This window comes from Homo sapiens, chromosome 3 (genome assembly GCF_000001405.40).
Source record: "Homo sapiens chromosome 3, GRCh38.p14 Primary Assembly".
Taxonomy (NCBI): Eukaryota; Metazoa; Chordata; class Mammalia; order Primates; family Hominidae; genus Homo; species Homo sapiens.
Genome location: NC_000003.12, coordinates 37825511 through 37839842, shown reverse-complemented (window position 1 = coordinate 37839842; position 14332 = coordinate 37825511). Strand labels below are relative to the sequence as shown.

General features: G+C 42.5%; 1 long non-coding RNA gene across 2 annotated transcripts in view; it reads left to right on the top strand.

Annotated features, from left to right (window-relative positions):
* Positions 1–14332, top strand: part of ITGA9-AS1 (ITGA9 antisense RNA 1) — a 108092-nt gene that overhangs the window by 21938 nt on the left and 71822 nt on the right. For both annotated transcript variants that reach the window (NR_110531.1, NR_110532.1), the window contains one exon: positions 5076–5164. This is a non-coding gene — a long non-coding RNA (ITGA9 antisense RNA 1). The remainder of the gene's footprint in view (positions 1–5075; positions 5165–14332) is intronic.

Sequence of the window (14332 nt, the reverse complement as noted above, 5' to 3'; positions counted from 1 at the left end):
GGTTTTATCTACCTTTGGTCTTTGATGTTGGTGACCTACAGATGGGGTTTTGGTATGGATGTCCTTTTTGTTGATGTTGATGCTATTCCTTTCTGTTTGTTAGTTTTCCTTCTAACAGACAGGCCCCTCAGCTGCAGGTCTGTTGGAGTTTGCTGGAAATCCACTCCAGACCCTGATTGCCTGGGTATCACCAGTGGAGGCTGCAGAACAGCAAATATTGCTGCCTGATCCTTCCTCCGGAAGGTTTGTCCCAGAGGAGCACCCGCCTGTATGAGATGTCTGTCAGCCCCTACTGGGAGGTGTCTCCCAGTCAGGCTACACGGGGGTCAGGGAGCCACTTAAGGAGGCAGTCTGTCCATTATCAGTGCTCGAACACTGTGCTAGGAGAACCACTGCTCTCTTCAGAGCTATCAGGCAGGGACGTTTAAGTCTGCAGAGCTTTCTGCTGCCTTTTCTTCGGATATGCCCTTCCCCAGAGGTGGAATCTAGGGAGGCAGTAGGCCTTGCTGAGCTGCGGTGGGCTCCGCCCAGTTCGAGCTTCCCTGCCACTTTGTTTACACTGTGAGCATAGAACCACCTACTCAAGCCTCAGCAATGGCGGACACCCCTCCCCCTGCCAAGCTCCAGCATCCCCCGGTCGATCTCAGATTGCTGCGCTAGCAGCGAGCAAGGCTCCATGGGCGTGGGACCCACCGAGCCAGGCACGGGAGGGAATCTCCTGGTCTGCTGGTTGCAAAGACCGTGGGAAAGGTGCAGTATTTGGGCAGAAGCGTACCATTCCTGCAGGTACAGTCACTCACGGCTTCCCTTGGCTAGGAAAGGGAAATCCCCCAACCCCTTGTGCTTCCCGGGTGAGGCAATGCCCTGCCCTGCTTTGGCTCACCCTCCATGGCTGCACCCACTGTCCAACCATTCCCAATGAGATGAACCAGGTACCTCAGTTGGAAAGGCAGAAATCACCCATCTTTTGCATCGATCTTGCTGGGAGCTGTAAACTGGAGCTCTTCCTATTCGGCCATCTTGGAAGTGACTCCCATGATCCAGTTTTATCTTTGTTCCACAGCTAACCATTGTTGCAGCACCACTTAATAAAAACTCAGTATTTGTCCCAATGTTTTGAAATGCCACCTTGAATGTATACCACTTTTCCATATGCACTTAGGTTGATTTCCGGCCTTTTTATTCTGTTCTGCTGGTCCATCTATTCATGCACCAGTACCGCACAGTTTTAATTACAGAGGCTTTGTAGACGTTTTAATGAATAGTAGTGCTAGTCTCCAATGCCCACTATAGCTTTTTGCCCCTCAGTATTTTCCTAGATATTCGCAGGAATGTTTCTTTTTCCATATAAACTGTAGTATCAACTTGCTTAGCCCCAGTAACAAAAACTGTCCTCAAAGTGTTCTTAAAATTTAGAATGACTTCTCAGCATTAAAGGTGGGGAGATATCACATGAAAATTGTATTTCTGGTTTCTCTTGAAAATTGGGAAGCGCTGTCACATGGGCTTTTTTTTTTTTTTTCCCACATGACCTATTGCTGTAGGTCAGCCTGCACACAGGCCTGTGCTCTTCAAGACCACGCAGGCCTCACCATTCCCTCTGACAGCTCACTGCTGCCCTTCTTCACACACGCAAGTTCCCTGTGTGACATCTGAGTTGGTGACTGTGGCTTCAGATGATCACGAAAGTATGTTCCAGGCCCATCCTCCACCCTCTATTTCTCTGTCTCACAACACAAATGTTAAGAAATGGATTTGTGTTGCTTTGTTCACTGCTGTTATTTCCAGGACCTAAGAAGAGGGTGTGGGGCGTGTCTGGCCCTAGGTAAGTCTTTGTTCAATGAAGGCATGTCATAGATAGGAAACAAGAAATGATCAGAACATGTTCTGTCTTCAGAAAACCATTGAAAATACATCAAATGGAACCACACACTGTGGGTGGGAGTGACTTGGTACAGCCCTTATAGAGAACAATTTGGCAATATTTGTCAAAATTACAAACACATAGATCAGTTGTTCCTGCAGTTCCATTTCTAGAAATTTGTCCTAAAGTATATTTGCACACAGGAAAAATGACGGTGTACAGGGTTAATTATTGCAGTAATAATAAAAGATTGAAAAAACCTAAATTTCCCTCAAAAGGGGACTGATTATATAAACTATGGTTTATCCATATATTGGAAGAATGGAATGTTATACAGCTATAAAAAGAATAAGGGGCCAGGCACAGTGGCTCACGCCTGTAGTCCTAGCACTTTGGGAGGCCAAGGCAGGCTGATCACTTGAGTTCAGGAGTTTGAGACCAGCCTGGCCAACTTGGTGAAATCCCATCTCTACTAAAAATACACAAATTATCCAGGTGTTGTGACACTTGCCTGTAATCCCAGCTACTTGAGAAGCTGAGGCAGGAGAATTGCTTGAACCCAGGAGGTGGAGATTGCAATGAACCGAGATTGCACCACTGTACTCCAGCCTTGGTGACAGAGTGAAACTGCCTCAAAACAAAACAAAACAAAGGGTGCTATCTGTGAAATGAGAGGGAAAACATGAGGTGCAGAATAACGTATCTAGTGGGCTACCTTTTATGTATAAAAGGAAAACAACCCAAAGGAAATATTCATATTTGCTTGCAAGTATGTAAAGAAAATCTGTATGGACTCATAAGAAAATAGTAACAATGGTTAGATGGAGGGTGGAGGAGGTATGGCGAAGAAACTGGGCAGATGAGGACAGGGTGGGAAGGAAAATTCTAATTCTCTCTTTCTCACTTTCCATGACTTTGAGGAGTAGGTTTTAGAGCAAATATTTATATATAATGTATGCATACATACATACACATATAGTAATAACAAATATGAAACTAAAGTGACAGTAGAAGAAGCCATCAGACCCTGGAGACCATAACTATCCACAGGACACTGTGTATGGCCACCATCTGATGGAGGCTCTAGGTCACTCACTGGAATTTTCATCCACTCTTGCTAGAAGATAATTTATTGGGCATGTTCCTTTCATCTTGACAGAAAAGACAGTGAAATATGTTTCCACTCCTACTGTCTTGCACTCAGATAATCCCAGAGAGCACTTTACAGATTGACAGCCAATAAACCACTTCACCCAGTGGAGAAATAGAGCAAATTCCAAGATGGAATTGGTGACATCCATGCCACAGGGGATGGCCCAGCAAATGCTTCGTGATAAATAAGTTGAAATAGCCCAGCTAGTGAAATCTGCACTGAGAATTTAGCAAAGAAAGAATTTATCAAGTTACTATTGTTCTAGAATGATAGAAAGCAAAATCTTCTAAACTATTGAAATACAAATTCAGGAAGTCTTCCAAGAATAACTCAGATCTTATATATAGAGTCTGGCACATGGCATATGATCAATGTAAAATGAATTTTAAAATAGAAAATTTATTAAACAGAGTGCTGTTACTCAAATAAATTAAATGGATGAATCTGTTTCTGTCATAGCATATATAAAAATATTTTAAACTGGGGAGCCCAGAGAATAATTAAAACTTGGCCAGGTGCAGTGGCTTACGCCTGTAATCCCAGCACTTTGGGAGGCTGGGGTGGATGGATCACCTGAGATCAGGAGTTTGAGACCAGACTGGTCAATATGGTGAAACCCCATTTCTACTAAAAATACAAAAAGTTAGCCAGTTGTGGTGACGGGTGCCTGTAATCCCAGCTACTAGGGAGGCTGAGGCAGGAGAATCGCTTGAACCCAGGAGGAGGAGGTTGCAGTGAGCCAAGATTATGCTACTGTACTCCAGCCTGGACGACAGAGTGAGAATCTGTCTAAAAAAAAAATACTGTGGCAGATGATATTTTTGTATATATGTGTATTTTAATAATTTTGTCCTTTTTTGGTCTATAGTTTAATTTTTTTCTGGGATTGCCACTGTGTCTTTGGAGTTATTAGTTTCCTTTTTTAAAAAAAATTCTCAAATGTCAAGCCATTCTATTTACACCTTTGCAGAGATCTGATGCAAATTTCAACATTTTTGGTAGGCTAAATATTGTTGTTTTAATTCTGTATGCCACAGCTCAGAGTCACATTGTCAAAGTATAATATTCACTTTAAAAAAACTTTAGCATAAATACCTCAGACTAAATATATTTATATCCAGGGAAAATGTTCAAACTGTTAAGCTAAGAGCATACAGTTAAGCATTCATACAGACTTATATGAACATAGACATGAAAGGAATCTATATTAAATAGTACAAGAGGAATGTAACAGCTTAGAATCAAAATATGCCTCTGTTGCCTTTATGTGTTTAAAACTAACATTTTTTAGTAGCTGAAATTGTAGAGAAAATGTTGCCCAGAAGTACCCATTGATTTGAGGGCATTTCACTCATTGTTACAAGGATGTGAAGAGTGAATCTCCTTGGCAATGATATCATTTTGGAGACAGAGTAGGGAAAATAGGTTACAAAACAGTGCATAGAGAATGGTTCCATTTCAGTAAGGATCATCTTCTACGCTTCATCATAATTCTCAATTTCTCAAGAGTTCTGCAACCTGAGATGAATACAGTAGTCCCCTCTTATCCATGGGGTATACTTTCTGAGACCCCCCTCTTATCCAAGGGGGATACTTTCTGAGAATCCCCTCCCCTTATCCATGGGGGATACTTTCTGAGATTCCCACCCCCCCCCACCAGTGGATGCCTGAAACTGCGATAGTACCAAACTCTGTATATACTATGTTTTTCCCTATACATACATATCTATGATAAAGTTTAATTTATAAACTAGGCACAGTAATAGAGTAACACAATAATAAAATAGAACAATTATAACAATACGCCAGCGTCGCTTCTCTTCTGCTTTGGGGCCACTATTCATTCAAGTAAGGGTGACTTGAACCCAAGCACCATAATACCACTGCAGTCGAGCTGTTAACCAAGACGAAGTGACTAACGGGCAGGCCGCGTGGCTGATTCACATCCCAGGTGGGACGGAGCAGGATGTGTAAGATTTCATTACGCTACTCAAAACGGCATGCAACTTAACACTTACAAAATATTTATTTCTGGAATTTTCCATTTAATATTTTCAGACTGCAGTTGACAGCAGATAACTGAAAGCTCGGAAAGCGAAACCGTGGATAAGCAGGGGAACTGTGGCATCCCATTTAAAATTGCTTCTGTAAGTTTATGTTTGAAGTATTTTGTTCCTTGAAAAGATGCTTGCTTTTTGCCTTTTCTTATTGTTCTTACTAACTGCGTTACTTAATTTTTCAAACATTGTTGGCCCTCAGCACTACTTCACTGAAGTTTTAGGAAGCTAAATGTTATGTTCCCATAAAGATCAAAAGTGTCGCCGGGTGCGATGACTCACGCCTGTAATCCCAGCACTTTTGGAGGCCGAGGTGGGCAGATCACGAGGTCAGGAGATCAAGATCATCCTGGCTAACACGGTGAAACCCCGTCTCTACTAAAAATACAAAAAGTTAGCCAGACGTGGTGGCAGGCACCTGCAGTCCCAGCTACTCGGCAGGCTGAAGCAGGAGAATGGCTTGAACCTGGGAGGCAGAGCTTGCAGTGAGCCAAGATTGCGCCACTGCACTCCAGCCTGGGCGACAGAGCGAGACTCTGTTTCAAATAAATAAATAAATAAATAAATAAATAAATAAATAAGAGACCAAAAGTGTCACACTTTTAAAGCAGTTGTTAGAAAAGCTGGACTGATGTGTCCTGACCACCTGGGAACAGCTGGCAGCCCAATTATTTGATATTCTTCCAATTAATTCAGACTCTTATGGGCACAGTGCTGCCTTCACCTTGGGCCTTCCTTTTAGCTTTTGAAGGCACAGAGGGCCACTGTCCTGGCAGCCACCTACCAGCAGGGTGCCCTCATGCCTCACCTCATGGCTGTGCTTCTTGGTTCCTGCTCTCTGGCCACTCGGCCCTCCTCAAGTTCTTGAACAATCCAGGCTCCCATCTGCCATTAGGTCTTTGCAAATAGTGTTCCCTTGCCTGGAATGCTTTCTTCACCTAGTTAGTCCTCCTTTTTGGTCATCTCTTCCTTAGGGAAGCCTGCCCTGATAATCCAGAAGAGGCACACCCTTTCATTTCATGCCCTTACAACACCCTTTATTTACATGTTCATTGTTAGTGACTGTCTTCCTTTTTAAACTGTATGCTTTTTAAGGTAGAACCCTTTCTGTTTTTGCTCATCATGACATTCTGGTTCTTAGTGGATTTTTGTAATTATTGCTGTATGAATGAATGTATTATTTTAATAATTTATTCATTGCCAGAGGTCAGTAAAATGCAAACCCTATATACCCAGTCTTGTTGCAGTTTGCTGAGCGGGTGGAGCGTTACCTTGGGAGGCCCTGATCCCTCCCTGGGCGGACATTCTCCCACAGCCAAACTCTCAAGAAATGTATGGGCTAATGTAGGATATTTTACAGCGAGAGCTGTGACTATCAGTAGCTTCTTCAGTGACCATGAACATTAGAGGTGGGGCTTGAGGCTGGATGTATCTGTTGCCACTGCAGGGCTGCACATCCGGGGTTCAGATGCTGTGGTAATGAGCTAGGTCCTGTGTCAGCTACCTCCTCTGCGTGGTCCTTTCAGACTCATCTTGGGGCCTTGGCTCATTGTTGTAGCCCACACCTCTGTGGGCTCTGCTGCATCCTGCAGTGACTGTGAGGGCCTTGCCCTGCTGCTGCTGGTGCTTCTCACCACTTTTGGACTCAGACAAAGCCCCTGATGCAGGGCTTGGGATCTGGCTCTCTAGCAGCTGGTGAGGGAGTGCATATCATCCTTTACACACTGGAAGTGCAGGAGAATTAACTTCCATGGAGGCAAATTTTGACCACTGGGATCCAGGAGATGAAGGAGAACCAGCAGATCAATGATATTTTTGTCCTTTGCTTAGATGGATGGAGATGCAGAAGTTCAGCCCTACGAGGTCCATGATTAATTAGCTGAGCAGAGGCCAGCTCAGTAGCGCACCTCCTGTTTGCTCTCCCTCTTTCTTTGCTGCACACCCCTTTCTCCCTCACTTTTGCTTCCCTGGGATTGCATTCCCAATAAAGTGTTCATACATAAACCTTTGCCTCAAGCTCTGTTTCCTGGGAAGCCCAGGCTGGGCTGGGCCCTTCCCCACTGCCAGTCCTGGACACACACTGCAAATGTTCCCTCCTAGAATTCTCGTGACTGTTGTCCGGGCTCCACTACTGCACTGCACCCCCACAAGCCAGGCATTCTTTCTTTACACAGAGCAATTGATTAGATTGAACCTTTCTTCACTGTGACCACAATTCTGTCCCAATTCCCTGAGGCCTACATTAGCCTGTTCCACATAATTCCTCATGTTTTATTTTTTCAGGTAACTGATATTAGACTTTACAGATGATTTTTAAATTTATTTTTTACTTTTATTGAAATTACAAAGTTTAAAGAGTCAAGTAATTCTATAAGGCTTGGTACAGAAGTCTACACTCCCTGACATCCATTTGTATTACCCATTTATAGGAGGCAACCACTTTTAACTGATTACTTAGGTATTTATGTTTATCTCTCCAAATAACAAATATTGCTGTATCTTCATCCTTTCGTTTTAGGCATGACCTGTTGATTTTTCTCAATGAAAGATGAAGATTTAGCTCATTTTAACAAACCTTATATCCACCTCTACTTCACACGCATACTTCTTGTCCCCTCTCTTCCTAATGCTGTTGTAGCACGATTTAGTTTAAAACTCAGTGTTTACTTTGTTATAAATATATAAGGCTGTTCATAGTTGAGCCACGTGGTAAACCATGATTATTTTCCAGTTTCTGTTCAACTTTTGCTTTCTCTGAAATCAGTAATTGTCTTTTTTCCCTTTACTTAGTACTGTGGTCTGAATGTTTGTGCACCCACCGTGGCCCCCATCATTCATACGTTGAAATCCAAAGCTCCAAGGTGATGGTATTAGGAGGTGGAGCCTTTGGGAGATGATTAGGTCATGAGGGTGGAGACTTCACTAATTGGATCAATGCTCTTATAAAAGAGGTTTGCGTTGCCTCCTTGGTGCAGTCAGCAGCATGTCAGTCTCATAAGACGCTTGAGGGAAACTGTTTGCTCTTTCCTTTCCACATGTAGGACACAGCATGAAGATGCCATCTATGGGCTGGGTGCGGTGGCTCATGCCTGTAATCCTAGAACTTTGGGAGGCCGAGGCAGGCAGATCATTTGAGGTTGGGAATTCAAGACCAGCCTGACCAACATGGTGAAACCCCGTCTCTACTAAAAATACAAAAATTAGCCGGGCGTGGTGGTGGGCACCTGTAATCCCAGCTACTCGGGAGGCTGAGGCAGGAGAATCATTTGAACCCAGGAGGCAGAGGTTGCAGTGAGCCGAGATTGCACCATTGCACTCCAGCCTGGGCAACAGAGTGAGACTCCGTCTCAAAAAAAAAAAAAAAAAAAAAAAAAAGAATGTGCCATCTATAAACCAGAAAGCGGGCCCTCGCCAGATACCAAACCTGTTGGCGCCTTGGTCTTGGACTTCCTAGCCTCCAGAACTGTGACAAATAAATTTCTGAGTTTTTGTGTTTTTGTTTTGGGACAGGGTCTGGCTATGTCACCCAGACTGGGAGTGTAGTGGCACGATCATGGCTCACTGCAGCCTCGACCTCCTGCACCCAAGCGACCCTCCTGCCTTAGCTGCCCCCACAACCACACCCCTGTAGCTGGGACTATAGGCACATGCCACCAGCCTGGCTAACTTTTTTTATCTTTGGTAGAGAAAAAGTCTCACTATGTTGCCCAGGCTAGTTTTGAACTCCTGGGCTCAAGTGATTCTCCTGCCTTGGCCTCCCAAAGTGCTGGGATCACAGGTGTGAGCCACTGCTCCTGGCCTTTCTGGTTTTTGTTTTTTTGTTTTATAAACCACCCAGTTTATGGCCTGAATGAATTAAGATATTTGACATTCTCTTTCTTTCTTTCTCACTAATTTATTTCTAAACCTAGCTCAAGATGTATTAATACACATCTCCTTCCCTTACATTTGAACATGTTAGGTGCTCTTCAGTATTGATTTCTTGATAATGCAGCATCTCCCAGAACCTTTGTACCTGCTCAGTGTGACTAGCACACTGCTGAGTGAGGTGCTGGTCCTTCCTCACCATGCTGGGCTGGCCTTCCCTAAACCATCTTCTATGGGTTGATGATGTGATTGGCCCCTTGGTGGGTCTTACTTTTCCTATAGATCTGAAAGCATTGATGAGGTGAGGGAAGTGGGGCATACAGAGAATAGGCATCTCCCTTAAGGTGATTACTTTGTTATTTCAGAGTCTTCAAGTAAGGCAAGAGCAGCCTCATTAGATGGGGGAAAGGAGAGGCTCATGGAATCCTCCCTTATCTCCCCATTCCAATTCCTGGCTCCCACTCATTTCCTTATCAATGCCCTACATTTCACATAAGGGATTTGATGATCTGTGGATTTAATGGATTTTACAATTTGACAACCCACAGGATTCAGTCTGAGTTTTGGCAACCTTAGTACTGTGGCTGCACAAGATAAAGGTTTTTTTTTTTTTTCTTTTGATTTGTTTTGCTTTGTTTTTGAGACGGAGTCTCGCTGTGTCACCCAGGCTGGAGTACAGTGGCACGATCTTGGCTCACTGCAACCTTCACCTCCCTGGTTCAAGGAATTCCCCTGCCTCAGCCTCCCAAGTAGCTGGGATTACAGGCACATGCCACCACTCCTGGCTAATTTTTTTGTATTTTTAGTAGAGACAGGGTTTCACCATGTTGGCCAGACTGGTCTCAAACTCCTGACCTCAGGCAATCTGCCCGCCTCGGCCTCCCAATGTGCTGGGATTACAGGCGTGAGCCACCGCGCCCGGCTGATAAAGATTCTTTTAGCCCCATCATAGACAGTATCTTGTTGCACAAACTTACCTTAAACCAAAAATGTAGAATTTGAGCTGCTTGTTCTTTTTCATTAAGCTGTCCTGTGTCAGCTCACTGCAGCCTCCACCTCCCAGTTCAAGCAATTCTCCTGCCTCAGCCTCCTGAGTAGCTGGGATTACAGGCGCCTGCCACCACACTCAGCTAATTTTTGTATTTTTACTAGAGATGGGGTTTCTCCATGTTGGCCAGGCTGGTCTTGAATTCCTGACCTCATGATCCACCCGCCTCAGCCTCCCAAAGTGCTGGGATTACAGGCATGCACCACCATGCCTGGCTAATTTTTGTTTTAGTAGAGATGGGGTTTCTCCATGTTGGCCTCAAACTCCGGGCCTCAGGTGATCTGCCTCCCAAAGTGCTGGGATTATAGGTGTGAGCCACTGCACCTGGCCTGGATAGGTAGATATGTGATAAACCCAATATAGTAAAATTTTGATGGTAGAATCTAGATGGTGAATATTTAGGTGTTCATTGTAGAATTCTTTCAACTTTTCTGTACGCTTGAAAAGTTTTATAATAAAAATGTTATACACAGAGAGAGAGAGAGAGAGAGGGAGAGAGAGAGAGAAAGAGAGAGAGAGAGAGAGAGATGAGGAAACTAGATACATGGAAAGCAGATATCTAGACTTCTGATCCAGGAAGAGAAGTAGACCAATTCTCCCAACAACCACCACAACAAAACACTAAAAATGAAGAATAAAATATTTTGAACGACATATTCTTAAATGTATCAAAAAGATAGCGAAAGTATGAAATTATCAAGCCAAAGTTGGAATGAAGTCTGCGAGGCAGAGAGATAAGTGGAGGGCTTCAATCATTTTAGTCCTGAGCATGTGGCAAGCCTTACAAAAGTGAAGTTTGGTTTTCATGGCCTCGAAGGGTTCAGGGACCCATAAAGCAGCATCTCCAAGGGCTGCAACCTCAACATAAGATTCAACCACATGGAGAAACGCTATTCCTACTAGTACTCCTGGAGGACCAAGGAAAACTTTGAGGAAAGTTGCCATGGTGCAGAGCAGATCACAGGAGTTGACAGGGATGCTGAGAAGTGGCAACCACAAGCTGGCCTTCATATGACTGTGTTGTTCAAATTCATGTTATTTGGGTGGTCCATAAAACCTCAAGGTATGGCCCCAGACTGGTGCCTGGCAGAGGTGAAAGCAAAGGCTCTCTATAGAACATATTTCATCCTGGACCTCAAAGAATTACCACAAGTAATTTTGCAAGGAAAATAAGCAGCTAACAATAAACAAACCAACAAACCACTAGTTGCACAAGGAAACCAAGCACCAAGAGTGACGATCATCAGGGGAAAAATCCTAGAAAGCAGAAACAGAGCCATAAAAACTTCATTGCACTTACCAGACACAAAATGGAAACTATGATTTTTATGTTTAAAGAAATAAATTTGAAATTATATGCAATAAACAAGAAAATACAGAGAAGTGCCCATCATATTTGAGGGAGAACTAAAAGCCTTTGGATATAAGAATATAATAATTGAAACCCAAATCTTAACAAACAAGTCTCAAAGCAGATTTGACACCGTTGAAAAGATAGTGAATACAGAAATGGGCTAGAAGAGATAGTCCAGAATGCTGCACAGAGGGATGATGGGATGGAACTAGGAGTGGTAGATAAAGAGGCAAGAAGGATAAAGCGAGAGGAAAGAGAATGGAGCAGAGATAATATTTAAAGAGATGAAGAGAACTGATGAAAGACCTCAAACCACAGACGTACAGCAAATTGCAAGCAGAAAAGGTAAGCATAAATGCCATATAACTCTTCAGAGGAAAACTGCAGCACACAAAAACAAAGAGAAAATCTTCACAGAAACCTAAGAGAAAAGACAGGATCCCTTTAAAGGAGTGACAAATGGGCTGACTGCTGACTTCTTTATAGTAACAACAGGAACAAGAGGAAAATGAAATGTTATATTCATCCACTGAAAGTAACTGCTGATGTAGAATTCTGTACCAGCAAAGAGTCAAGAATACGGGCAATTAAAGACAGCTTCAGATAAAACAAAATGGAAACATTTGCCATCAGCAGATTCTTACTGAAGGAAATTCTAAAGGATGTACTAGGCACAAGGAAAATGATGCCAGGAGAAAATATCTGAGATGCAAGAAGCAATTAAGAGCCAAGAAGGTGGCAAGTATAGGGGCAAATCTAGACTGGCATTCATTAAAGAAAACAGCAAAAACAATGATTTATGTGGTTAAAATATAAAATTAAAATACATTAAAAGATAGTGACTAGTGACTAACTCTAGATTGTGATATGTTAAATAAGTAAGATATTGTATAAGTCTTTTTTTTTTTTTTTTTTTGAGACAGGGTCTCACTCTTGCTCAGGCTAGATAGAGTACAGTGGTACAACCACAGCTCACTGCAGCCTTGACCTCCTGGGCTCAAGCAATCCTCCCACTTCAGCCTCCCAAGTAGCTGGAACTATGGGTGTGCACCACCACACCCAGCTAAAATTTTTTTTGTAGACATGGGGGTCTCTCTGTGTTGCTCAGGCTGGTCTTGAACCCCTGGGCTCAAGCAATTCTCCCACCTCGGCCTCCCAAAGTGCTGGGATTACAGGCATGAGCCACTGTGCCTGGCTATTGTAAGGCTTAAAGTTTTAAAGTATCTGTTATCTGCATAAAGAATAAAAGTGAATAATGGAGGGGAAGAATGGAATGTGAAAACAAAGAAGAGAAAGGAGAGAAAAGTATAAAAAGGTGGACAAAAGAAAACACAAAAGATGATAGAAATAAATCCAATTATTTCATTAATAACAATAAATGTAAATAAAATAAATGTTCCAGTAAAATGATAAAGATTGTGTTAGAACGGATTTTTAACATTCAGCTGTATGATGTTTACAAATGACACATCCAAAGCACATGGATATAGAAAGATTATAATAAAAGGATGGAAAAAGATATGTTGTGTAAATACTAATCAAAATAGACTTTAAGATAAGAAAGTATTACTAAAGATAAAAAAGGATCAGTGCATAATGATAGAATGTTCAGTTTCATCAGAAAAAGATAAGTAATTCTAACATTTTAGGTCAGATAATTCCATTTTGGGCAAGGATGTGGGAATATACACTGTTGCTGGGAGTGTCCAGTCTGTGGTCATTTTAGAGAGAATCTAGCAACGAAATGAGAACGTAACCAACCACCTTCAGATGTCATATATATGATAGATACCATGAGATTCTAGCTCCACCCATAAAGGGCCATGTGAGTGTTCACTGCAGCAGGCAGTGAAAGCAGCAAAGGCTTCCTTCAGAGGGGCTGGAGAAGTGAAATGTGCTGAAAACATAATGTAGAATGTAATGCTGTAGCCAGAAACAATGAACCAAATGTAAACACAGCAACATCAATACAACCTGGAAAAATAAAACAGTGTGTGCTCAATACCATTTAAGTGAAACATAAAAAATAATATGATGTACATCCATGTTTAAGGGCATGTATTTATTAGACTTGGTTCCTCTGGGAGAGAGGGGAATGTGAGTGAGGGTGGGGACACAAAGGAGAAAAGTTACATAAAAGAAGAAAGGGCTTTGTATGGACATGAATATGATTAACCAGCTCCATGCATCCACCCCATCCCTGACTCCAGCCCAAATAAAGGTTTGCCTCTTGCTTAAATCCAGCCAGACTTAAGGATTTGAAGCGTACAAGTTTAGAGCTCAAGGCAGCTATAGTCTGAATATTTTCTCAGTGGAGGGTGTGGCAACTGGTAGTTGTCTCTTAACACTTACCCTCCTCTTATTCCTTAATAATGCATTCCCCAGCCTCCTTAGTGGGTGGGTATATCTACATACATAATTAATTTCTGGCCAGCGTTATATGGAACTTCTAGGAAGAATAGTTAAAAGGGAGGGGGCATATGTCATTTTGTCCTCTTCTATTTTTGGCTTGGAATGTGGACATGATAGCTAGTTCCCTGGTAGTCATCTCAGACCATGAGGCAACCTTGAGGGTGCTGAGAAAGACAGGAGCTGGATTCCTGATGCCCATGGAGCTGCTGTACCAGAGCTTCTGCTTCTTTTTTTGGGAGAGAGGAACACACTTTTATCATGTTTAAGGCCTTATTAATTCGGAGTTTTCTATTATATGGAGCCAAATATTCTCCTGATAAGGTGGGTTCAGAGTAGATGTGGAATTGGAGATAATTTCATTTTTTCCTAATCAGTCATCTTCTAGAAGAAACATTTCCTGGAGATTCTTTTTTAAATGCCAACTTTTTAAAATACCAATTGGTTGTCTTCAAAGGATAGTAGTTATCCCTTTATTGAGGTTTAATTTTTAGGATTAAAAAACTGATTTAAAATAAAATATAAAATAATTTGGACTTTGAAGCAAAGCAGAGATTTGGCAGCAGGCAGCCTTAGATTT